At 47.3% G+C, this 24885-nt stretch overlaps 1 non-coding gene across 2 annotated transcripts in view, besides 1 other annotated feature; it reads right to left on the reverse strand.

The window, feature by feature from the left end:
• EMX2OS (EMX2 opposite strand/antisense RNA) overlaps nt 1-24885 on the reverse strand; it is a 60776-nt gene that overhangs the window by 33564 nt on the left and 2327 nt on the right. Inside the window, exon 1 of one of the 2 annotated variants that reach the window (NR_144378.1) lies at nt 24241-24733. The exons of the other annotated variant lie outside the window; for it this stretch is intronic. This is a non-coding gene — a non-coding RNA (EMX2 opposite strand/antisense RNA). Of the gene's footprint in view, nt 1-24240; nt 24734-24885 lie in introns of those variants that run through there. 2 annotated transcript variants of the gene reach the window in all.
• Nucleotides 17020-17983: an enhancer, noted in NCBI's record as "H3K27ac-H3K4me1 hESC enhancer chr10:119294387-119295350 (GRCh37/hg19 assembly coordinates)". NCBI's record gives its function as "activates a minimal SCP1, AML or CMV promoter by ChIP-STARR-seq in naive and primed H9 embryonic stem cells {active_cell/tissue: H9 hESC(naive and primed)}" and the evidence as "EXISTENCE:reporter gene assay evidence [ECO:0000049][PMID:30033119]".

A 24885-nucleotide genomic window follows, 5' to 3' on the forward strand; every position in this document is an offset into this window, starting at 1 on the left:
TTTTGTATTTTTAGTAGAGACAGGGTTTCACTGTGCTAGCCAGGATGGTCTCAATCTCCTGACATCGTGATCCGCCTGCTTCGGCCTCCCAAAATGCTGGGATTACAGGCGTGAGCCACCATGCTGGGCTGCATCTACAAATTTTAATCAACTCAACTCATGGAAAACAATATAACTTGGGAGAATCCTAAACTCCTGTGAATGATGGTTTTGAGTCTAGCAGGAGTTTCCAAGACTGTGCTTCAAACCATGGCAATGAAAAACTTCATTGCTATAGCATTTGCCTACGTGTAGAAGGTGAAGTGTAAACAGAAAACTGGGGGTGTTCAAATGCATCAAGGAAAACATTGTCACCCTAATAATCTTTCAGACAAATGTGTTGATGTGAACAGAACCATTTTGGGGTCATGGGAGGGGGATCACTCTTTAGAGGCTATTCCCCTTAGCTTGGCATTCGAGACTTTGCACACACTTGCTGAGGCCTGCCTCTCCTGATTTCTTCTGCCTCTCTCCCTGCAGCCTGCTGTCCGTTGGTCCCGGGTTGTCGTCACACCCCCACTCCTTGCATGCTTTCCCAGGCTTGCTCCTTTATCTTGCTCTGAAGAATGCTCTTCCCCATCTGTGCATATCCAAAGCCTAATCACATGGGCCTGGTTCAAAGGTCGTCTCCACCCCAATCTTATATCTCATCTACCTCTACCTGGTGGCAGCCTTTCCCTCCTTTGAAGTCTCTGGGCATTTTTTTTTCTTTTCTTTTTTGAGACAGGATCTTGCTCTGTCACCCAGGCTGGAGTGCAGTGGTGCAATCATGGCTCACTACAGCCTTCACCTCCCAGGCTGAAGCGATCCTCCCACCTTAGCATCCCAAGTAGCTGGGACTACAGGTATGCACCATCACACCCAGCTCATATTTTATTTTCTGTAGAGATGGGTCTCGCTAAGTTGCCCAAGCTGGTCTCGAATTTCTGGGCTCAAGCAATCCTCCCACCTCGGCCTCCTAAATTGCTGGGATTATAGGCATGAGCCACCGTGCCTGGCCTCTGGGCAATTTTTTTCTTTTTCTCATCACCTTCTACTTGACATCAAGCCTGACTTCAAGCTGCTAAAGGACAGGAACTGTGTCTCATTTTTGTGTCCTCCACTGCCCCAGCACAGTCATTTTTGTTAATAGTGAGTTAGTGATGCTTTTTAGGATACACAGCCCCAAGTCTTCAGCTCCCGACAATAGTGGTGCCGTGTCAGGAAGCTATAGCCAATCGGAGTCCATAACATTACCTGCCCCCACCCCAAGGTGTGAAGGAGAAGTGATGTGGTTTACAGTGTGGACAATGTAAACCAGTGTCTGCATGACCCCACATGTCCAGATGAAAGACCCAGGGGGCCAAAGATCCAGAAAACAGACTGAACTTTCCCTTTTCCATTCAGATGTTTTCCTGTTGGGTGGCCCAAAGCCTGAAACGGCTGAATTCCTGGGCGCTCTATAAACCTCTCCCATTCCAACCTTCCCAAATGTTTTCTTCCAAAACTCTGTCCAAACAAAGAAACAAAAAAAAAAAAATCCCTCAAGAAACTCAAGTGCTAACACTGAACACATGAGCCCAAGAACCAGCGGTCCAAGGGGAAGCAAATACCCTGTTTTTGCCAGACAAACGTTGTCAAATATATGAGCATGCAAATATATTTATCTCAAATGAGTTACAAGGAGAGTCGCACAGGGTCCAAAGCCACTTGCAAAAGATGGCAATCGGTTTTGAAGAATTTCACACATATTAAGCCAAGGATCCTCCCTTTCTGCACGATCTAGGAGATTTGGAAGTGTTCTGCGAGCAATGTGGTTTTCAAATGAGGTCCAGTACAAGCTTTTGATCTATATAGGATAGTATGAATTCATACGCAGTACTGATGAATTGACAGGCCACATTTAAACATTCCCCTCACGTACACAATCTGGATTTATGATTTTGTTTTTGTGCACACATATCCTTTGAGTTTCTACATATATGACACATGGAGAGGCAAGGAAGGAACTCCTGGTAATCTTTCAAAGGCTGACACCCAAGTGTGATCTTGACAGCTTTGGGGTCATTGTCATATTTTTGACAAGCAATCGCACTGTTACAGAGGGAGCTAGTAAAAATGTTTCCCTGAACTCATCGTGGATTGCAACAGGAGGAAACACTCCATCACTGGAAAGTGACACTAATGCATTCTATTAGATTTGCTTATCATGTTAAAGAGCATATTAAAAGGAAATGTTTGGAAAAGAGATGCCATAACTTGGTATGATGGGTTGAAAATTCCTAATTTGGAAAAAATGTGCTAAGACAACATGATTGATGTGAGTGACCTACTTTATTTTATAAGAAAGTATGAGTTGCCTCGGGCCCATTGGTACACATATTTGGAAAAAGTTGTTTTTTTTCCACATTAAGTTTTTATTAACATTTCAAAAGAGCAAAAACACCATAGAAGGATATAAGTTGTAACTTGTCAATGCAGATGTGTTTGTAGCCATTTGCTGCTGAGAAAAACATATCACCCTTGCTGGAAGGGTTTCTGAATTAGGTGAGTTTCTTGCCAAGCGAACACCTGATGGGGAGAAATATGACAGTCTTTTCCCTGATAAAAAATGACAGGGAAGAGGTGTTTTTATTTAAAGCACAAATGACTCTTCTGCTACTTGTAGGCAGTGATCTCTTAGAGTGATTAACATTTCATGGAGCCTCCCAGCCACCTTTCTGTGTAGGTGGCAAAGGATTGGGGCTGAGTTAACCATTTTAGCTCTGCTTGAGAAGATGGAGTTCAATGCCCTCATCCTGTTCCTCAAATGAAGTCCCTTGGTTTGGAAGTCAGGAGCTCTTAGGTTTATCTCAGGCAACAGAAGGGACAGCTGAGGGTCCAGCAGAGGGTTGGTCCTCTCAAAATACTCTGTTACCATTCAATCAGTATTGCCACTGAGTTTAAGACCTCAGGAAATGCCTATGGTACAATGTTTACTGAAGAAAGTAAGATTAAAAAAATATATAGACCTGGCACAGTGGCTCACTCCTGTAATTTTCTACATTAAAAAAAAACAAACAAAAATAAGAAATTAGCCAGGTATGATGGCACATGCCTTTAGTACCAACTACTTGAGAGCTGAGCAGGAAGATGGTTTGAGCCCAGGAGTGAGTTCAAGGCTGTGGTGAGCTATGATCATGCCACTGTACTCCAGGCTGAGTGATAGAACCAGACCTTATCTTAAACAAAACAAATATCTTAATAATGTAAGTGGGAGAATAAATTGGCACAAACTTTCTGAAATGCAATTTGTGAATTTGTCACAAAAGCTTTAGATTGTTGCATACCTTTGGACCTAAAAATTCCACTTCTAGAAATTTCTTCTAAAAAACAACTATGAATACTTATAAAGATATAGCTAATAAGATGTTTACTATATAATTATTTATAATATTAAGAGATAGACTCAACCTAAATGTCTGAAGTTAGAGGATTGCTTAAATAAAGTCATACAATTAAAACAGCCATTAAAACGATAATGTGTAATGTATAAGAGTTATGTGGAAGAAGGTTTGTAATATTTTACAGGAAAAGTGGGTTATAAAACATGCATATTATGATGCTATTTGAAAACTATACATATGTCTACTTAATTTTTAGATATCTACATATGTCTACTGCAGTAGACATATGTATAGTTATGTATATATTCTTATACTGTCTTTAACTATATGCATATATATGTGAAGGACATTTATCAAAATGTTAAGTGTAACTATTTCTGAAGAGTAAGTCTTCCAGGTAGTTTTTGTTTCTTTCCTTTTGTATGTTTTCATTTTCTATGCTAGCCATGCTTTACTTTGATAATAAGTAAAACAGTTATTAAATGGGAAAAATCCAAGAGATTTAACAGGTTACTTAACAGAAATAAGAGAATTCACAAGGATTACCCGGCACAAACTAGTTTTCTCATATAATAGTAAACAGGTTAAAATATAAAATGAGAAATTATTCCATTCACTATAGCAAAACAAAACAAAACAAAGCATAAATCATCCACAAAACTGAAAATGCAATGACTAATTCATGCAAGAAACATCCAAGACCTATTTAGAAGCAAATAATGAAGTACATCAAAGAAAATCTAAATAAATTATTGTGTTTCTGGTTGGAATGACCAAATATTGTGAAGATTTCAACTCTTTCCCAAATTAATTCATACATTTGATACAATTCCAATAATGGTTCTGATTAAAATAACTGGCAAGTTGATTCTAAATATTATCTAGGAGAACAGATGCATGAGAATAGTTTTCCTAGGTGAAGAAAGATGAGAGCAGCTTTGCCCTACTGGATTTTAAAAGATATTACAAAGTCAGGGTCATTAAGCAGTATGCTAATTTTGTAGGAATATCAAATATGTTAATGAACAAAATAGAATGCAGAATAGAATAAATAGAATAAAATATAAGAATCTAGTATGCGATAAAGGCTGTATTTCCTGTTAATGGAGAAGGGCTATATTGTTCTGCAGATGATGTTGGAATAATTAGTTATCCATTAAGAAAAAAAAGTGGGTCTTCACTTCAAGTTACATTCACAGAAAAAAAGTCCAGATGTATTAAAGACGTACACATTTTAAAAAATTATAAAAGTTATTTAAAGGACTAAAAACAATAATCCCATAATCTTGAGAATGAGAAAGACTTTCTTGAAGAGAGATAAGCCTCAGACTCCATAAAGGATAAAACCAACAATTTTGCCGGCATAAATATTTAAATCTTTGGTATGAGAAACATACTATGAGCAAAGGACAAACTAGGAAAAAAATGCAACTTGTATGATAAACAATAGATTAAGAGCTTTACTATATAAAGTGCTGTTTTCAGATAAGAGAAAGATTATCATTCCAATAGAAAAATTGGGAAGATAGAAGCAAAGCTTTTTATAGAAAAAGAAATATGAACATACAAAAAATGCTCAACCTCACTAATAATCAAACAATTTAAAATTAGAACAATAAAATATTATTTTCACTCACCACTGTCAAAAGTTTTAAAAGGGAATGATCATATTTAACGTATTATGAGTGTAGAGAAATACTTTGATGCAGTAATTTCATCTCAGGGAATTTACTCTGTGTAAAGATTCAGAAAAGGGTTCCAAAAGTCTGGAATCCTATGCAGTTGGTTAAACAAATGAGGCAGACCTGTGTACTGATGGAGGAAAGTCTGAGGTATATCAACACATGAAGAGAACTGGCAGGAAAACAATATAGCCTTGTGATCCCAACTTCTGCTTAATAAACATACATAGCTATTTGTATATATAAAATAATTTTTATAGCAGATGTTCCATGGCAGTAGGATTAGGGGGTGATATGGTTTAGGTGTGTCCCCACCCAAATCTCATCTTGAATTGTAGTTCCCATAATCCCCACGTGTTGTAGAAGGGACCTGGTGGCAGGTACCTAGTGGGAGGTAATTGAATCATGGGGATGGTTTCCTCCATGCTGCTGTTCTTGTGATAGTGAGTGAATTTTCATCAGATCTGATGGTTTTATAAAGGGCTTTTCCTCCTTTGCTCAGCACTTCTCTCTCCTGCTTCCATGTGAAGAAGACGTGTTTGCTTCTCCTTCCATCATGATTGTAAATTTCTTGAGGCCTCCCCAACCGTGTGGAACTGTGAGTCAATCAAACCTCTTTCCTTTATAAATTATGCAGTCTTGGGTAGTTCTTTATAGCAGCATGAGAATGGACTAATGGCAAGGGGGTGAGCGGGGAGCACCTTCATTTGGACTTTCTCCTCTTCTGTCGTATTTTAAAATTTTTAGGATCATATATCACTTTTGTAATAAAAAGCAACACACATCTGACAAATCTGCCTAGAGAGGTGAGGTGACTTGCCTAAGGTTAATAGCACATGAAGACCAGAAGCCACTGGGTCTCCTGACACCCAGGCTCTTAGTGCCCCCAAAGAGTCCCTTCTTCTTATTGAGGAACCCATGGGACCATGGCATAGCCTCTCTCTCAAAGGAGCCCACAAATGTCCTAAAAATGCTATTTGCAGCCTCCTATCAGGCTGCAGATCACCCCATCCCCTGGGCACTCTTGGATGGGAGAAGTCACATATGCAGCATTGGGTTGATGAGTTTCAGGGTGGGACCAGTGCCCTCAGAAGTGCCCATGCCAATGCCAGCTTGCCCACTTGCCTTGTAAGGAACTCTGGATGGCCCCCTGTAGCCCACAAGTGGTGAGCAGGCCAGGGATTCCTTCCCCAACCCCCATGACTGCTTTTGCACCCACCATACTGGAAACCTCACACAACAGACCTGGCAAAGCGGGATGGGTCAGTTAGGAAGCAGGAAGATGCATCACTTCAAAGTACAACAACATTAGCTTATATCTTAAAGTGCTTTATAATTTACCTTTCTACCCATCACCTTGTTTGATCTTCAGAATCATCATCTGAGAGAAGAACAAGTGTAATTGTTATCATTCCCATTTCATGGAAAAAGAAACTGAGGCTCAAGAGGCTGAGCCACTGACCTGGTCACATAGCAAGGAAGTGTGGAGAGAGAAGGAGAGGTTGGGTCAGCTTGGCACAAATTCTCCACTTTTGCCACATTCCCTCTTTTCCTCTCTCCTGAGTAAACTCCTACCCACCCTCAGCCCATGGAAGCATGTTCCCCTTAATCCAGCTTGGTCTTGGCCAGGGCACTATGGCACTTCTTGCCATAGTACAGTTTGACTTCTGACCCCAGCCCCTGACTCAGTGTCTACTGCACCTGGGCCTCCCCAGCAGCCTTCTGCTCCTTGGGGGATAATACTGGTTGGGGAAATTCTCTGGAGCCCCCAGAGAAGGGCACAGATCTGAGGGTTCTCTAACTGAGGATACTGTCCTGTCCAGGAGAGCTTCTAACCACTCACATCCTGGTCTGTAAGGATGTGAGTGGTTAGAATCATATATCACTTTTATAATAAAAAGCAACACACATCTGACAAATCATTCCATTGATTCACACTTGTGCTCCCACAATCTAGCAAAGCACCTGGCATACAGCAGGTGATCAATAAAAGTTTACTGAATGAGTGGAGTGGCCAGAGGACCCTGAGTCCCATCACCAGTCCACCTAGAACTCCTGTGACTTCAGGCCATCCCTGTCCCCACGCTGAGACTCTTTATTCCCTCCTGTAAATAGGTGTGAGTTAGTCTCTAAGAACCAGAAGCCACCCAGCAGAGGTAGAGGCTCTACCAGCATTACATTTAGAATAAAGGGACTGGAGGAACAGAGGCCAGTTTTACCCAAGAGATCCAGAGGCAGAGAGTGGAGAGGGATCCCCACACATCTATTCTGAGTCCAGTTCTGGGAAACTGTCTGAGTGTCTAGCAGATCCACCAGCTTCAACATCTTCAAGAATTGGATGCCACCACGAGCAGCTCCTTAAGGCCAGGGGATGTGCCTCCTTGCTTCTCTGTCCCCAGCACACAAGCAGGTGCATGTAAATGAATGCATGGATGGAGGGCTCCTGTAACAACTTGTCATAATAGAAATCAAAAGTTTGGGACAGGAAATGACATTATAGGCCATGTGGTTCAACTCCTTCCACTGGAGACCAAGAAACAGCAAAGACTTGCCCAAGGTCACAGAGAGAGACAATGGAAGAGATTTGGGTGGGATACATTAGCTGGTTTTCAGGGATCAGCCAAAGCTAAGGCCAGCTTGCTTGAGTTGGTTCAGAAACCAGGGGAATCCTGTTGGGAGCCACTCCTCACACACTAGAACCCCCACATTGGCTCTACCCAAAGCTCAATTACTGCTGGGAGAGGCCTTATGCTCTCATAATGAAGTCATATCTATGGCAAAGATCCTTGAGGCTAACAACTGTGAAATAATTACATGTGCCTCAGAACTGGGAGATCAAGGATTTCCATCCAAAATCCCATGATGCTCTTAAAAAAGGTTTCACTATAAACTGCAGGAGGGGTGGGGAGAGGCGAGATTTCCAAGCCAGGTTGCCATATTTTAATTCCACCTTTTATGTGTTGGCATCATCCCATCTATGTGTATATCTCACTCCATAGACATATTAAAACAACATCAAAGGAGATTAAAAGAGTAACAATTGTCATCCATAATCATATTGCTATAACTAAATTATACCCACATGCATGTATCTGTCTCCCTGTTCAATTATGCAAGCAATATGTGAATGTATTCTCATCATCAGAAATCAAGAAGTATACATTGTAGTCAGAATAAGTACCATGACCACACCAATTCCTGCAAGTTCCCCTCTCTTCTCCTGAAGCAATGCAGTTGTCAGGTTGGTGTGTATTTTTCCAGAACTTTTCTCTGAATTTATATCAAGTATACACATATAACTATATATTAGTATGTGAATACACACATGCACACACACAAACAAGCACAAACAAGTAGTATTTATTTTAAGCATTAATGGGATCATATCATGTATTGTCCTGGAGTTTGTTTTTTCTCCCCTTAATAGATCTTGGAGGTCTTTCCATGACACTACAGAAAAAGAGCTACTTCCATCTTTGCAATAGCTATATTACACAGTTTTCCATAATATGGAAACATACTTAAAAAAAAAGTCCCCATTAAAGAACATTTAGTCTCTTGGGTTTCCAATTTTTCAATATTTCAAATAGTGAATATGCGTATATATATATAGAGAGAGTATATATATATATATATATAGTCTATATATATACTATATATAACTGTATCTATATAACTATATATATAACTACATCTATATAACCGTGTGTGTGTGTGTATATATATATATAGAGAGAGAGAGAGAGAGAGAGAGAGAGAGATTCAGCCTTAAGCACTCTCTCTCTCTCACATGGCTGATCAATCTTTTTATTCATGTCTGCAGACTGTCCTGCTTGGGGAAATGTCAGCTCCACCAGGGTAAAGATTTTATCTGCTTTTCTCCCTGCTATATCCTGAGTGCCTGGAACAGTGCCTGGCTTAGCACACAAGAAATATTTGTTGAATGAAGACCAGCAAGGGGAGAACATAGCCGCAAACTATTTTAACAAATAATGCTTGTCTAATGCCTGCATTTTCCAAAGGCACTTTGACTCCCTAATCACATTCTACCTGCAGAACAACCGTGGGGGCTCAGTAGATCCTGCGTGGTTAATACCCCATGCTGAATTGTGTTCTCAAGTCAGGGCTTAGGAAACAGACAGAGAAAGGTTCAAATCCTAGCTCTGTCACTTTCTCCGTGTGTCTCTGGAGAATTTACTTAACCTCTGTAAGCTGCAATTTTTTAATCTATAAAAAAATGGATATACATACCTTCCCTTGAAGGATTTTATGACAATTAAATGTGTTCTTATATGTGAAGTACCTGAAATACTGTAAGCACTTAATAAATGCTTGTTCTCTTTTGTCCCTTGCTCAGTATATTCTTTCTACCTGCTCAGGTCAATCACCCATGGCCCTCCTTGTAATGTCTTACTGTCTACCAATTACTGAAATACCTTACAGTTTTTCCTAAAAAATATCCTGGTATATCAGTTTTCCTCCACCCCACAGGAGTTTCTTGGGAAAGAAACAAAAGAAATATTTTCTTGTCTGTGTTGTTTAAACATAACATCAGTGGCTTTTTCCTGAGCATTGTATGTTTGGGCACTTATCACGTTCAATAATATTTAGCTGTCTAGTTCCCTAACTGGTTCTCAAGGGCAAGGACCATGACAGACTCAATTTTTTAACCCTGTTAATTACAGGTCAATTGCAAATTTCCTTATAAATGGTAAATGCTCGATACTGGTGGAACTAATAAATGATCTGAAAATACTATAAATATCTGATTTTAAGTGATCCCATACGTTCATACTTCTGGGAGCACAGGGACTCCTAACCCACTCTGCTCTCATGATAGCACCCAAGCTGTCCTGAGTCAGCTTCATCATCCAGTGGTTGATGTGGGGAACTGACCTTTTGTTTCTTTTCCAGTGTTGGGGTTTATGCTTTTTCCTTCCTCCACACTCAGTCAAATCCCCCTCTGGCAGTCCTTCTCCTGGGTTTACATACCTTTTAAATGTTCTTTTCTTTTCCCTTTGAAATTGCAAGTTTTCTCACCTCTACTCCCTTCAGATAATTTGAAAGTCAAAAAACAATCAACCCACCCCAACAGGGCTTGAGAAGTTAAACTGTAATGGTCTTATTGTAAAAGAAAGAGACATTTGGAAATAGTGTCAGATCCAGGGCCATTGTGCCCATGAACCCTGAAAGTCTACCTAAAGGTCTGCATCTAATTCCTTACCCCATCAGCCCTCCCTGCTTTAAAATTCCTTTCCCCTTGCCAACCGACATTCACTTCTATTTTTCTGTTTTGTTTAACTGTGACGACCTCTATCACAATGTCTGTGAAGATTTTATTGTACTTATGTATTTACAAGGTTAGTCTTCCTCGGCTAGCTTCTTGAGGGAGGATATCATAGGACTTTTCATTTTTGAATTTCAAATGCCAACACAGTGTCTGGCAGATAGGAATATTTTTGGGAAAAAAAGAATATTGTTTTCCTCTAATTTTTTTTTTTTTTTTTTGAGACGGGGTCTTGCTCTGTCGCCCAGGCTGGAGTGCAGTGGTGCCATCTCGGCTCACTGCAAGCTCCGCCTCCCGGGTTCGCGCCATTCTCCTGCCTCAGCTTCCCAAGTAGCTGGGACTACAGGCACCCGCCACCACGTCCAGCTAATTTCTTTTTTGTATTTTTAGTAGAGACGGGGTTTCACCATGTTAGCCAGGATGGTCGCTATCTCCTGACCTCTTGATCTGCCCGCCTCGGCCTCCCAAAGTGCTGGGATTACAGGCGTGAGCCACCATGCCCGGCCTCCTCTCATTTTTTTTTTTTTTATGACACACAACCACTATCACTTAGGAAACACAGTTTTTCCTAAAGAATCTCCTAGTATATCAGTTTTCCTTCACCCACCAAACTTAAAATTCTGTATTTTTATGAGTAGACATTGAACAGATTGTTTTGGGTAGCATCTTGACCACCATTTATAACATTGCTTCTGAGAGACCACATTCTGAGTTCCAGAGAGTGGCTAAGAAGGAAACTTTTGGAATCTTTTTGAAAGCTAAGGCCTTTTACCTTCCTTCCTGACTCAAGCACGGATTCTCGTTACATTCCAAGGGACCCTCACCCCATCAGGAAATGCAGTGCCTCACTGTGAACGTGGCAGAGTGACAGCATTAAAGAAGAGGGAGGCTGGCAAGCGGTGAGGCCCAGCAGGACCTTAAGATTGTATTACCCATTTAAGGATCCAGCCCTCTTGGATGTACCTGCAGCCTGCCTAGGAGGGCCTCTGAGAGGCTGGAATGGAGGGGAGCCAAACCTGGTCTTCCTCTTTGTAAAGCTCCAGGTGTTGTGTGGCTGGTGTTAGCTCAGCATCTCCTGCTTTTTAGGTCAGTCTTTTGCTACTTCATCTCTCTTGTTTGTTTGTTTGTTTGTTTTTTGATATAATATTTGTCCAAGATTCTTTCTTTTTCTTTATGAAGATCTAAACATTTACAGTAAAATACTTTAAAATCTTAGGTTTGATGACTTTTTGCAATTGTATACATCCGTGTTACCATCACCCAAATCAAGATATAAAACCATTCCTGGCAGCCCAGAAAGTTTCCCGGGCCTTTCCCAGTCAACCCACTCCAGAGGCAAACACCATTCTGAGTTCCATATCCGTAGATTTATTTTGCCGGTTACCTCACATAAACAGACTCACATAGCCTGTTTCTTCCCTTTCAGTCACTAAAACAACAATGACAATGTTGTTAGACATATCTAACAATATTAGATGTTAGACAAATGTAATAATAACAATGTATAGGCATAACCTAATTCCTTTTTTCTTTTTTTTTGAGATGGAGTCTCACTCTATCACCCAGGCTGGAGTGCAGTGTGGTGTGATCTGGGATCACGGCAACCTCCGCCTCCTGGGTTCAAGCTATTCTCCTGCCTCAGCCTCCTGAGTAACTGGGATTACAGGTGTGTGCCACTACGCCCGGCTAATTTTTTGTATTTTCAGTAGAGCTGGGGTTCACCATGTCAGCTTCCTAAAGTGCTGGGATTACAGGCATGAGCCACCACACCCAGCCCTAATTCCTTCTTTTTTTTCAGTTAACATCTCAAAATGTTTGGCAGTGGTGACCCCCACATAGGGGTAATTTGCATGATTGTTATTGACTTCTTTACACATTCTGGCATAATGTAAAAAAAAAAAAAAAATATATATATATATATATATATATATATATATATATATATAACATTTCATGATAATGAGGAAAAAAAGCTTCTTCATGGGGTAGGAGAGCATAGCTTTTGTGGAGAGGTAAACAAGTGAGATTCAGAATGAGCCTGATGAGGGAGCTTTGGTTGTCCGAGGGCTGAGAACATCCTTCCCTTGCAGGCTTTTCCTGGTGGCAGGGGACTTCTTACAGTATCTTAAGATCAGAGACCCCTTGAGCCACTTCCTGTCTGCATTCTTGTTTGTCTCTTTGAACATGGAACTATTTGACCAAAGAATTCCTTCTGCCTCAAATTCTTCCTCTTGGATCTTAGCAAAGAGAAAACATTGTCTAAAGCGAGAGTTAACTGTACTTTGAAAGTCATGAAACACACACACACACACACACACACACACACACACACATACACACACACAGAGCCATACCATTGAAAACCCTTGACCACACATTTGAGTTTGAGTGACACAAGTAAGGCAAATGGTAATAGAGCAAAATATAGAGTTATCCATAAAACCTATACACCATTGAGTATAGGTCTCTCAGTATCATCTGACCACAGATAAGGGGCAACTCCTTGTTCTGTTTCCTTGATGGCTTCGCAGTACAAATGGGTACATACATGGAAAAGGTATGAGTCTCAGAGAGGCAATAAATGCAGAAAAAGTTGGGTCCTGAAATAATATGTGCAGGAATACTTAAAACATGAAAAAGAGAAAACTTAGCAATTTCACAACACAATGCAAGGTCTAACTTCATTGGTTAAATGGTCCCATATGTGGTAATCTACAAAGCTGGGAGACTTGGAATGGGACAGCCAGGGCTCTGCGCACAATGGATGGGGAGTGAGCAACTTGTGCAACCTCGTTGAGTCCATTCCTGCCTCTCTAAGTGGGGTAATAATGACAGTGTCCACCTCACAGGGCTGGTAGGAGAGGTGACTGAAGTGAGGTATGGTCAGGCTATTTGTAAACCATCCACGCTGTCCATGTGCCAGTAGTCTGTTGTCTCTTTCAGAGTCGGAATAAATGCTCTGGAGGGGATGTGGGATCCAGACTCTTTATCCTATGGTCATTGACTTTTTGGAGGACTAAAGAGCAAAGTGTTGTCTCCTTCCTCACCCAGTGGCTTCCTCTTTGGGGAAAGGTGGGCATTTTGATATGAAATCAGATGTAGGGAAGCGGGGAGAAAGAAAAGCTTTTAGAGTCAGAAAGACCCGGGTTGGAATCCAGACGTCCTCATTTACTAGCTGTGTGTGTGACCTTGGATGAACGTCTTAACATCTTAGAGCCTCCGTTTTCTCATATGGAAAATGGGAATAGACTTCAATGGATTTCTGGGAGGACGAGATGAAATAAATCCTCGTAATGGGAGCTCAGCACAGTACGTGGGACTGGTGCCATCAGTGATAGAAATGAATTATCTCTCATGTGAGATGTCCTGGCAGCAGATGAGAAATGAAATATAGTCTATCTCGCTTTCAGCACACCCGGGCAGCTGCCCTTTAAACCAGGATCATGGAGACTCAGAGAACAGGGTAGAAATAAGGAACGCTGGTGCTAACACAGAATAAAGTTCTCCACTACACCGGGCAGGGACGAGATGGATCACCTGGATGCAGAAAATGCTGCAGACAGGCCAGATGTGCCCAAGCCCATCTGGGGAAGACCCACATCCACATGGTTGGCACTGCAATCCGCTCCTCATCTGGAAGGCCTGCCATTCTGTACGTGTTCAGAGGCCTCCCAGTGCTGCCAGGGCCAGAGACTGCAGCCATTGGGGTGAGGGGAGTGGGTTGTTTTATTTTTAGCAACAAGAAGACATTCTCCTCCCTCCTCTGATCTCAGCCCCTCTACCCACTTCCCAGCTCATCCCAGCAGGTGCCTGGGAGCCCCTTCAGGGACAGAGCCGGGAGGTACTGTCTCTACTTTTCCACACCCACAACAACCTTTCCCAAGGCTGGGAACTGGACCAGATCCCAAGTGGGCTCTGGGCCTCACTGAACCTCAAGTTTTGCCAGAAGTGGGGAGACTAAACTGCCTGTTCCAGGTTTTAGCCAAGTTTCTTTGTTTTGTTCTACAAGATGTTCACCAGGTAACCGTTTGGGGGTTTTTGCTTTTGAGAAATAAACAGCCCACGGCATCCTGACAGTCTCCTCTCCCTCTTGCCCTTTTGCTGAGCCTACCCTCCCTACCTCCCCACCTCACCAGCCCAATTTCCTTCCCCAGCTCCCAAGCTTCTGAGTTAGCAGCCTCCTGTTTATTAAGCTGTAAAGTTAGGACGGTTCTCATTTCTGATCTTTTCTTTGGCTACACCTGACTTCGTCTCTTTTTTTCTTTTTTCCCCCCACCTCCCTAAACTAAATCACTTGCGCGGTTCTTGCCTTTTAACGGAGCGATAACGTGAGGACATCTGAAATTCCGACTTTATTTTCCTCCAGCACACCTGGCCCCTGCCCTCCAACGGGAACTCCCGACTGCTTGCTTATTTTAGCTCTCAATTGGTATTAAAAGCAGACTGTAGTTGGGACCATCTGATCTGTAAACGATGCAAGCCCTAGACAGCTTTTCCCAGTCCGGGGTAGGGACGGGCGGCCGCGAGCTGGGGCAGAGGACCTGCGGGAGCCCGCGCAGCGCCTCCGCTCTGCCAGGCCCCTCCGCATCGGGCACCCAGGCTGGAGCCCTGCAGTTTGTCGTCTGGAGCCCGGAACCCGAGGTGAAAGGCCTCCGCTGAGCTCCCAGACTCCTCAGCCGAGCATATGCTGCACTCCTCACATTCATTTTTAATTCATGACATCAGTTTAGGGATCACTAGAGCCTCTAAACAGCCTCTCTCAAAACCAAAACAACCACCATAACACAAGCGAGGACAGGAGACGGCCGCGGAGTCCAGAACATCAGAACATCGGCTCCTCTGTCCCCGGGGAATAAACATTTGGAAAATCACTTTCCAATGGGGACCTGCTGTCCCTCACAGCAGCTACCTTCCCCCCAACTTTGTCCTAGAGCCGACAGTGGACTCCAGGGTATTTTGCTATAAAGACATAGCTGGTTTCAAAGTGGCTTCGATTAGGACTTTATAAAGTTACATTAAAATGATCAAATGCATACTTGGAGATTAAAGGCTCTCCCAAATACATTCACACACACACACATCTAGAATTGTATACAACATACATTGTATAATAATATATGATAAAACATTGTTAGATAAGTAATATAACAACATTATATCGGAACTGGATGTTAAATATTAATTTATGATATGAAACCACATAATACATATTTATATGTTAAACAGCATATAATACAAACGGAACATCTATGTTATAGATGGTACATAGGAGACATCGTGTCCTCTGAAATAGCCCAGGTACCGATCTGCTCCTTGTCGCCGAGCACCAGCTCAGTACAAGGCGCTGGAGGGGAAGGAGGGAAGCACATCAGCGTCTCCTCATAGTGATGCAGCCACCCCAGCCCTCACCCTATCCCAGTTCCCCACGCGCCCACGTGCCTTTGGGGTGGATGAAAAGATCTCAAACGACCAGCTCCTCATTGGGGTAAAGGAGTGAAGAGATTATCTCTGATAGAGGTCAAACTCCAATTGGGAGGAGGGCACCAATTCTGTAAATGACACCCGAGGGCACACTCACCAGGTTCACTGCAAGCCCTGAGCGTTTTGCGTTTGGTGCCCCGAGTGTAAGCCTAAGTATTCTGTCTCCGACACGTAAAACAACTTAAAGTGCCATTTTCCAACGGAGGCATTTAGAGGCAATTTGAAAATTGAAACGAATCTTTATATGCAAGACTGGAACGTTCCAGAGGCCCTTTAAAGCTGCGGTTAGAAAGGCAGTTAGGGAACTCAATGATGGGCTGGAAGGAGACGATTGAACGCACAGCCAAATGCACAGTTAGAAATTTGATATTAAACACGCTCTCTCAAGTAATGCAGTTTAATGATAATTGCTGCGTGTTTACTCTTCACTGGTTGGGGAAATAGAAGAAACATTTTGACAGAAAAGTTACCCTAAAGAGTTACACCATTTACAAGGGGAAAATATCTCAGTGGCCGCTGCTGGCTTACTAGCAACCCAAAACAGTGTGTGGGGGGAATTAGTTTTTCTCCAGAGCTACCGAGAAGGGGAACCTCAACATCAAGTGTCTGGCAGATGGGAGTGTGTGTTAAGCGAGGGCTGTTTTCGTTGGGAACGCACAGCACAGCTCCCTTCCTCAGAGCCACCTCCAGACCCCTCGGCCCTCCCACGACCCCCAGTTCCCGGGTCCGAGGTTCTGGGCGCCAGCGGCGGCCACCGCGCCGCGCGAGCAGCTTTTATTCGCACTCTCTTTAACTCGCCCTTTCTGGTTCTCTTCCCTTCGAGCGCCCTGCAGCGGAGTGTTAGACAAGCCCTGTTGTCTGTGGGCTCTCACCTCAGAGTCAATATTATCTCAGATGGGCACAATAGACTGGAATGAAAAGCTAATATTGAATCAATGCTGTCCCTGTCCGCGCCGCTGCGATGCCACCCTTTGTTGCGCACGCCGCCCCCGGCAAGCTGCTGGCGGCCGGGGCTAAGCGGAGGGCGGCCGCGGTCGGGCCTCTCCGGGTCCACGCCAGGGGTGGGAGGACACTTCGGGCCCAGCGTAGAGGAGGCCTCCGAGGCCCAAGCGGGCTTCGGCTGCTGCGAGTCCCCAGAGGCTCCCTCGGGCCTCACTCGCGGTGTCTCCTCCAGACGCCAGGGGCAGGCCACGAAGCCGAGGGCTCCGCGTGGCCGTGGGAGAAGCGGGGTGCACGGAGCCTTCCCGCGCCCAGACGCCGAGGGGATGCAAACAGGGGAGCCGGGCCTGGTATGGCCAACCTCCAGGATCGAGGGGCCCCAGAATGTGCGTGTGGCCGGGGGCGGGGGCAGCTGCGGGGGCCAGAACTAGAGTATTCCTTCGCTCTCCCCTGGGGGCCGGGCCCCCACGAGTTGCAGCAGAGCCCGTCTGTAATTAGGGCCTCCTGGTCCGGCAAAGCTGCGGCTGCTCCCAGAGAGAGTTGGGGTCTTCTCAGGGCCCGCGATGGGGGAGTGGTCGTGGTCAGACCCCCGTGAGCCCCTTCGGAAGGTCCCAGTCCCTGTCCATTCTTCTGTCCCGCAGCTCTCTCCGCGCAGGCGGGGCAGAGCCGGGGAAGAAGACGCTGGACGAGGGGTCTTGGGGCCGCCTCGCTGGCTGCGGTTGGAAGCACCCGTTTTCCCGCCCGCCCGCGCAGGCGCTGCTCTGTGGCCACCAGCAGAGGTTTCCCGGCCGCTGTGAGTCGCCCACGCGAGCGACGTGGGGATACGGGGCGCACGGAGTCTCAGCTGCCGCCACGCAGCGCTTGCCCTGCCCGAGCTTCGGCTCACTGGCAGCGGCGAGGCCACCGACCACCCTCCGCCTTCCAGTCCTAAACTCGGGGCTGGAGACCGCAGGAGCTAAACCAGGAAGAAGAAAGAGGGCAGGGCCTGAGGCCGGGAAGAGCGGCCCGGGGGTCAACGGTGAGCGGGTGCATACGAGGCAAGAGCCAGAGTGACATTAAGTGGGGCCGCCCGGGCAAACCTTGCGCGTGCACCCCGGCCCACCTGCAGGGCATTCTCCCCTGCCTTTTCTCCTTGGCTTGAGTGCGGGCGGCTGACTCCTGTGGGCGGGGAGGAGAGGGTGGTCTTCCCAGGGCTCCAAGTGGAGTGATCACTGCACCCATGGCCAGGAGGTGGGGGTGCGCGGAGTGATTTTTGTAACTTCCCTGAGCCTCAGTTTTCTCATCTGAAAAGTGGGTATCACGACTGTTTCCCTGACCACACCAGGTTGTGATGTTCACTGAAATCATGGGCTTGAGCACACATACTTTTAAAAAATTGCTAAAACTCGATACAGGTGAGAGGAATTGTTAGTTTTCTTGTAAGTCTTGCCCCAATCCTCCCCATATTTCAAGGAGGGCCGCAGAGTCCAAAATAAAAAACCTCCAGTTTCCTTTTTTTCCTCAGTTGGCTGGATTTCCCCTCCAAGCCCCAGCCCAGCCCCCACGTCCAGAAAATGGGGAAGTATTAAAGGAAGAGACGATTAAGCCCCTGAGAGTGTGGCTCCTGGGACGCCAGCGTTTCAGAAGTAGCATAGGCTCCTAGATGGACGCTGACAAACCCAAGTAGCGCCTTACATTGTCGGGCGAGGACCAGACTCCAAGTTAAAAGGCCGGCCGGGCTATCAGTGGCAGAGAGCAGAGCCTCAAACACGAAAAGCCAGAAAGCGCTGCAGAGGCGTGGAAGGTGCGCCCCGCTTCGCTCCCCATGCTGGTCCTCTGGGAACTCAGGAGCCGGTGCACGCTCTGGTGGGCTCATAGAGATGTAGCTTTGGGGGCGATGGGAAGGACTTGCCACGCTCCCACCCACCCTCCATCCCGAGAGAGTGCAAGGGAGACGCAACTGTCTTCATCCCTATCCCGGGCTGGCGCCCGAACTAGAGAGTGTACTTCTTCCCTAGCTCCTGCACCACCGTCTGTGTGTACGTCTGTCTGTCCCTCCCAGTCCTTGCTCGGTCCTAGGCTTTCATTTGAAGGCAGCTGAGGGAGAAAGAAACTGCAAACCCCTTTGGTTCTGTTTCCTTGCTTTCAATAATGAATCGAGACAGCGTGTGTGTGGTGAGGGAGTGACGAGTTTCAACGTGATGAAGGAGATAAAACCCGACGGTGGGGTCCTGCCAGTGGCTCCATGCGTCACTGAAACATTGGGTCTCAAAACGGATAGATCTCCGGAGACGCAGAGGTTCGCGCGGATGTCCAGAGGAGGACAGCGCCCCTGCAGCCACCCGCGGAGCCCAGGGCCAGGGTCAAAACCCTGCCGCAAGGGCTCGGAGCTCCAAGCAGTTATGCTGAGGGCGCCGGTCCCAGGCCGCCTTGCTATGACACGGGTTTCCAGTGAAGCCCAAGCGGATTCCACGGCCCCACATCACCGGAGGAGCCAGGCTGCCCCGGGATGGATGGGGTCCGCGCGCTCCGAGAGGAATGGGCTAGTCAATGTGCGCTGCTAGGAGTGTGTGGTAATCAATCGCCACCCCTGCCAAAACCAAGGACCCCCTGTGTCGGGCGTCTTCAGCCAGCCGCGAGGGGGCGCGGATCTGAGAGAGTCGCACCCCGGGACCCCAGCTCTTCCTACTCCACCCCAGGCAGGGCCCGCGCAGGCCGTCCAAGGCCTGTTCTCTGAACCACCTGGGTTGGGCCGCGAAATATGGGACCTCAGGCATGGAATTGTGGCTGCACAGGTGATCACGGCTTCCTAGTCCTTCTTAGAGCAGAACCTGTCCCACTCCAGCCCACCTCTGCGCCCCCTTCGGAAGGAAGCCTACTGGAGCTGGAATTCCAGCGTGGGTGGCGAACTCTCAAGCCAAGAGCTGGAGCTGATGGAGGCAGGAGGGACGCACTTCCAAGCCATCCGGGCTCCTCCGTAGCCAGTGAGCCTCCTTTAACCCCTCCACTGGCCTGGATGACGGCCTAGGCGAGACTTTGGCAGTGTGGCGCGACCCCAGCGCTCCCCCGCCCTCGGGCTCGGGGGCGCGGTGGGTACCGCGCCCGCGCCCGGCCCTCGCCACTAGGCGCCGCTGCGCTCACGCCGATCGGGGCCCCGGGTCGCCGCGCCCGCCTGGCGAGAGGCCTCTGGGGAAGACGCCAGAAAGGGATTTGTCGTAATAATTTTTAAAAAATGTTTTTAGGGCATTAATTATACTTTTCGTTTTCTCACCGCCACCCTGCGCGTTCGGAGAGGCCGGCGTGACTGGGGATCTCAGTGGGTTGGAGGAATTCTTAACGCCCCCGAGGCCTTTCCAACTCGGGACACCATTCTCGCGCCTCGGGCCGGGAAAGGGCTCGCCCTTCACGGGCGTCGGTGCGGTCCGCGGCGAGCCGCGGGAGCACAGGGCGGGCTCAGCATTCTGGTTCAACGTGAGGACCAGAACCTCGGCGATCAGGGACCAGGACGTGGCAGAGTGCAGCGGGTAGCTTCGACGGCACAAGGCCATGGCCTAGCAATAACTAAAATGTGATGAACGCTAACAGTGTGCTAAATATGAGCTCACTCACTCTCTCAACAACCGTTAACACATCGCTATTTCCTTTTCACAGATGAGTCAACCGTGGCTTAAGAAGGTGAAAGTCACACAGGTGGTGACCCCAGACAGCTCCCACACACCTATTCTCAGTTGCAGGAGGCCATGCACCCACCCCAGGTACCTCACAGGCCTAGCACGGAGCGCAGCTATAGTGAAGCACTGCCCTTTGCTCCTTTGAAGCCCGGGGGCACCTTGCAGGAAACTCCTAGCAGATGCTTATCAGAGATCCCCAGGAGTCTCCGCCCTTTGACACCAACCAAGGAGCCAGGACTCCAGGCCTTGCTCACCCCAAAATCTCCCTAGAAAAGCTCTCAGCTTTTGGGGGAGCACGGAGGAGTGTGGCAGGAGTGTCAGCATTAGCTGATGTTTGTACAGCTATATTGTTCACAGACTCTGAAACCCAGTAACAAGCCTTGGAGGTGGGTATGTAATAGCAGCATCAAGGACAGGAGCAAACTTTTATTGTAGTTCATTATGTGCCAGACACTGTCTAAGCACTTTACTTTGTTTATCTCATTGAACAAACCCAGAGCAAAGGTACTATATTATTTATTCCCATTTCAGAGAAGAGAAAACCGAGGCACAGAGAAGTTAGGTAACTTGCCCAAGGTCACACAGTTAAGCTGTAAATGCAAGTCTCTCATCTTGGGGGATGGGGGCAGGTGTATTAAAGTATAATTACATATAGTAAAACTCACCCTTTGTAGTATATGGTTCTGTGAGTTTTGAAAAACACATAGAGTCATGTAAATACCACCACAATCAGGAAGTAGGATAGTTCTATCTTTCTCCAAAACAAGCCCACTGCTACTCCCCACTGCCTCCCAGACAGCATTGGCTGTATTTTTACATATGACAAAATGAGGTGGGGAGGTTTCTGTGTTGCCCAAGGTCATTCAGTGACAGATTCGGAATTAGAACGTTTGAATGTGTCTGCTAGTCCAGCTACCTGGAAAGGTAGATTCCTCAGTCTACAGAGCCCAAGAGGCAGCAGTGGCTTGGGGCACACATGGGGCAGAGGGAGGAAGCCCCTTGCTCTAAGCTGGAGCCTCAGAAATCCCCACATCTCCCACTCCACGCAGGGCTACTTAACCAAACACCCACTCCTTGGGCAGCTAAGGAACAAAGGTGGCTGTATTCTGCAAGGCCTAAATCCACAAGTAAAGTTGAGTGGCAGGGCAGCTGCGCCATCTAGGAGCTTAGGGTCCAGTCCAGACCACAGTGCCCAGTGCCCTGGCACGACTCCACTGGCCAGTCTGGTTAATGAGTTACTATCCTAGTTAATTTCCCTGCACATCGGGGCCAGACCCCGCGAACCTTCCCGGGCCCTTCTGGCCCCGGGAATTAGCATAGATTACCCATGCATGAATTAGCATAGATTACCCAGCTTCTGGGGTTCTGAACTGCCCGACTCACTGGAAACCTGCTTCTCCTTCAAGGGGCTGGAGTGCAGCTCGGGTCTAGCAGCACTTGGAGCAGAGGAACTAGCATATCCTGGTTCCTTCAGGAAGGGGGACACCAGATCTCAGATCCTGCTGCCCCTTTACCCCTGCCTACGTGTTGGCTAGCTAGAGCCCCTGGGGCAAACCTGGCCACAGAAGGGCAGTTTATAAAAGGCAGGTAGCCTGCAGAGGATGCCGACTGACTGAAGTGGGACTGTGGAGCACTCTACCCCTCTACTGCAGCCAGATGTCCCTGCCTGGGGCAGAAGGCTGAGGGGTCCCATCTCCAGCCCAACACTGTCCTGGTTAAGGGAATAATGATTGCACCTTAGCGCCCAGGGCTGCAAGTTTTAAAAGAGGGAAGGCACCCATCACCCTTATACATCACAAACCATCTGGGTCTCACCCAATCTCCCAGACAGACTGGATACCTGTTGCCCTAAAGGTCAATGACTTTTATGCCCCCATCCAAGATCACTAAGGGTGGAGTTTCAGTGGCTCCAGTTTGCAACCTCTGAGTCTCAGGCTGAGTTTGGAGGGTCTGGCCTGAGGGCACTGCCAGAATCTGGCCCTCCAGTCCTCCTTCTGAAGTTTGCATGAAAGGTGCACTCTCCTGCTTGCCAGGATTCAGGATGCACAGTCTGCCTAAGCTGAGTGTTTGTTTCCAGCCTCAAAAACCTGAGGGCGGACCTCTAGCTCCACCCTAAGCTTACTGGCTGGGCACAGCCAAAAGACCTCCCCCCTCTGCCATGTCTTCAGGCTCCCTGCTGGCCTAGCTGGGGTTAGAGGAGAGGCCTGTAACCTCACAGCCTAATTGAGAGAGGGATTTCCAAACTGTAGACAATATTTTGGGGGACAGTGGTCCAGGCCCAAGGGAGGTGCATCTTTAAGTGCACCCCTACCCCAAGGGCTGGATCCAAAGCCCAGAATCTTTGGGCCTGGAAAAAGGGGAGGAGGAGAAAGCAAAGCCACCTGGAACTGACAGAGGGACAATACTGGGCTAGGACCCCAGCCCAGAACTTCGAAGCCTAAGGGAAAGGCAGGTGTCTCCCACTGTGAGGGCAAAGCTGAGGCGCACACCTGTCTCATCTGTGAAGATGTGTATGTGTGTTCCCTGGGAAGGTGTGGGGTGGGGGCAACAAAGATGATCTCTGCCAGTTCCTCACGAATCTGTCTGGTGCCCTGACAACCCCGGAAAACACTGCTCCCAACTCCTCTCTTGCCTGGTTTCCCAAAAGAGGTTTTTGGACACTTGCCCCAACACAACATTATATCTGGAATAAAGGAGTAATTGACACAAACATAAATATACACCAGATGAAACCAAGGGAGGAAGCAGGTAGCTCGTCCTGAGACCTGTCCCCTCAACTATGCATCTGGTGGCAGTGCAGCCTGGCTCACGGTGGACTTCACTCTTCTCCTCCCATTGCCATCGGCTTCCCAGGTTTCACGGCAACCTAGTCACCAAACACAGGCAATTCTGCGTTCTTAGGAGAAATGACAGGGGCCTGGGAGTAATAGTTTTAAACGACGCTAGAATTTTTTTTTATCATTAATTGTAAACGTGCAAAATACCTGCTGGTACTTCACTTTAGAAGAATGTAATTGGCAAAAGGAAAAAAAGGAAAAAAGAGGCGGCTGATGAATAGATAATAGATCTTTAACCACCAATAAACAGAGAGCAGCGCCAGCAGCCTGGGGATGTGATCATAATTATGCCGCCGCGCGAGCCAATGGGGACGAGGGAACTCGGTCCTAAAATCATCCCAAAACCGAAGGCGAGCTCGAAAATGCGGACACGGCCCGGGACCGGAGATGCGATCCGTAGTCGTTAGTTGCACTGGGTTTGCACAGCAACCACCACCCCCCCACCAACCCCGGGACAACAGATGGCATAATAATAATAATAGAAATAATAATAATAAAATAATATCATCTATAATAATAATAACATTGACCACACTGACAAAAATAATTACGACGGAACCTTAATAGTACAGTAGCACCATATCGGGCTCTCCCCTGACCTTGGACTGCCGGTCCCAGATATTCCAGAAGGAATTGTTTTGGGGAAGGAGGTGAGCACCCTCCCAGACAGAAAACGCTAGAGACCGTGGGGCGAGAGAGGGAGAGAGTTGGAAGCCCACTGCTCCGGCGGGGTCGGCAGCTCCCGGTCTCAACTCGCAAACGAACGAGCCGGGTCAAGAATCGCGAACGCACCGACCCTGGGACCTCGAGGCTAAGCGTGGTTGATGGGGTGGGAGGACCCCGTACCCCTCACTCCAGGATCCCTCCTGGCCTAGGAAACCGCTGGGAGTTTTGCTAAGTGTGGGGATTGGTATAACCGAACGGCGCCTTTAGCCCGGGAACCAGCCCCTGCCCGCTTACCCTCGCGGTGCTCTTGGGGCGATCCCAGTTCTCCCGACGCGGGGCCGCGTAAGGCAGCAGCGGCGGAGCGCTAGGCTAGAGGAATCTGTCTGTCCTTCTGTCCTACCAGCTTGGGCGAGGCAGGCTCGGGATTCAGGGGGCCGCAGCGGAGGCGGCGCCGGCCAGGGACTCTGCAGGGACCGGGGTGCCCCGGAGGGAGTGGTGCTGGTGGAGGAGGAGGCGGTGGCTGAGGGGGAGTAGGTGGGGAAAGAGGAGGAGGAAGAAGAGGAGGAGGAGGAAGAAGAGGAGGAGGAGGAGAAGAAGAAACTGGAGGAAGAGGAGGAGGCGAAGGAGGAGGAGAAGCCGCAGCGGGCGCCGCAGGAGCGAGTGAGCTGGGAGCGAGGGGCGAAGGCGCGGAGAAGCCCGGCCGCCCGGTGGGCGGCAGAAGGCTCAGCCGAGGCGGCGGCGCCGACTCCGTTCCACTCTCGGCCCGGATCCAGGCCTCCGGGTTCCCAGGCGCTCACCTCCCTCTGACGCACTTTAAAGAGTCTCCCCCCTTCCACCTCAGGGCGAGTAATAGCGACCAATCATCAAGCCATTTACCAGGCTTCGGAGGAAGCTGTTTATGTGATCCCCGCACTAATTAGGCTCATGAACTAACAAATC

Source organism: Homo sapiens, chromosome 10 (assembly GCF_000001405.40).
Source record: "Homo sapiens chromosome 10, GRCh38.p14 Primary Assembly".
Lineage (NCBI taxonomy): Eukaryota > Metazoa > Chordata > Mammalia > Primates > Hominidae > Homo > Homo sapiens.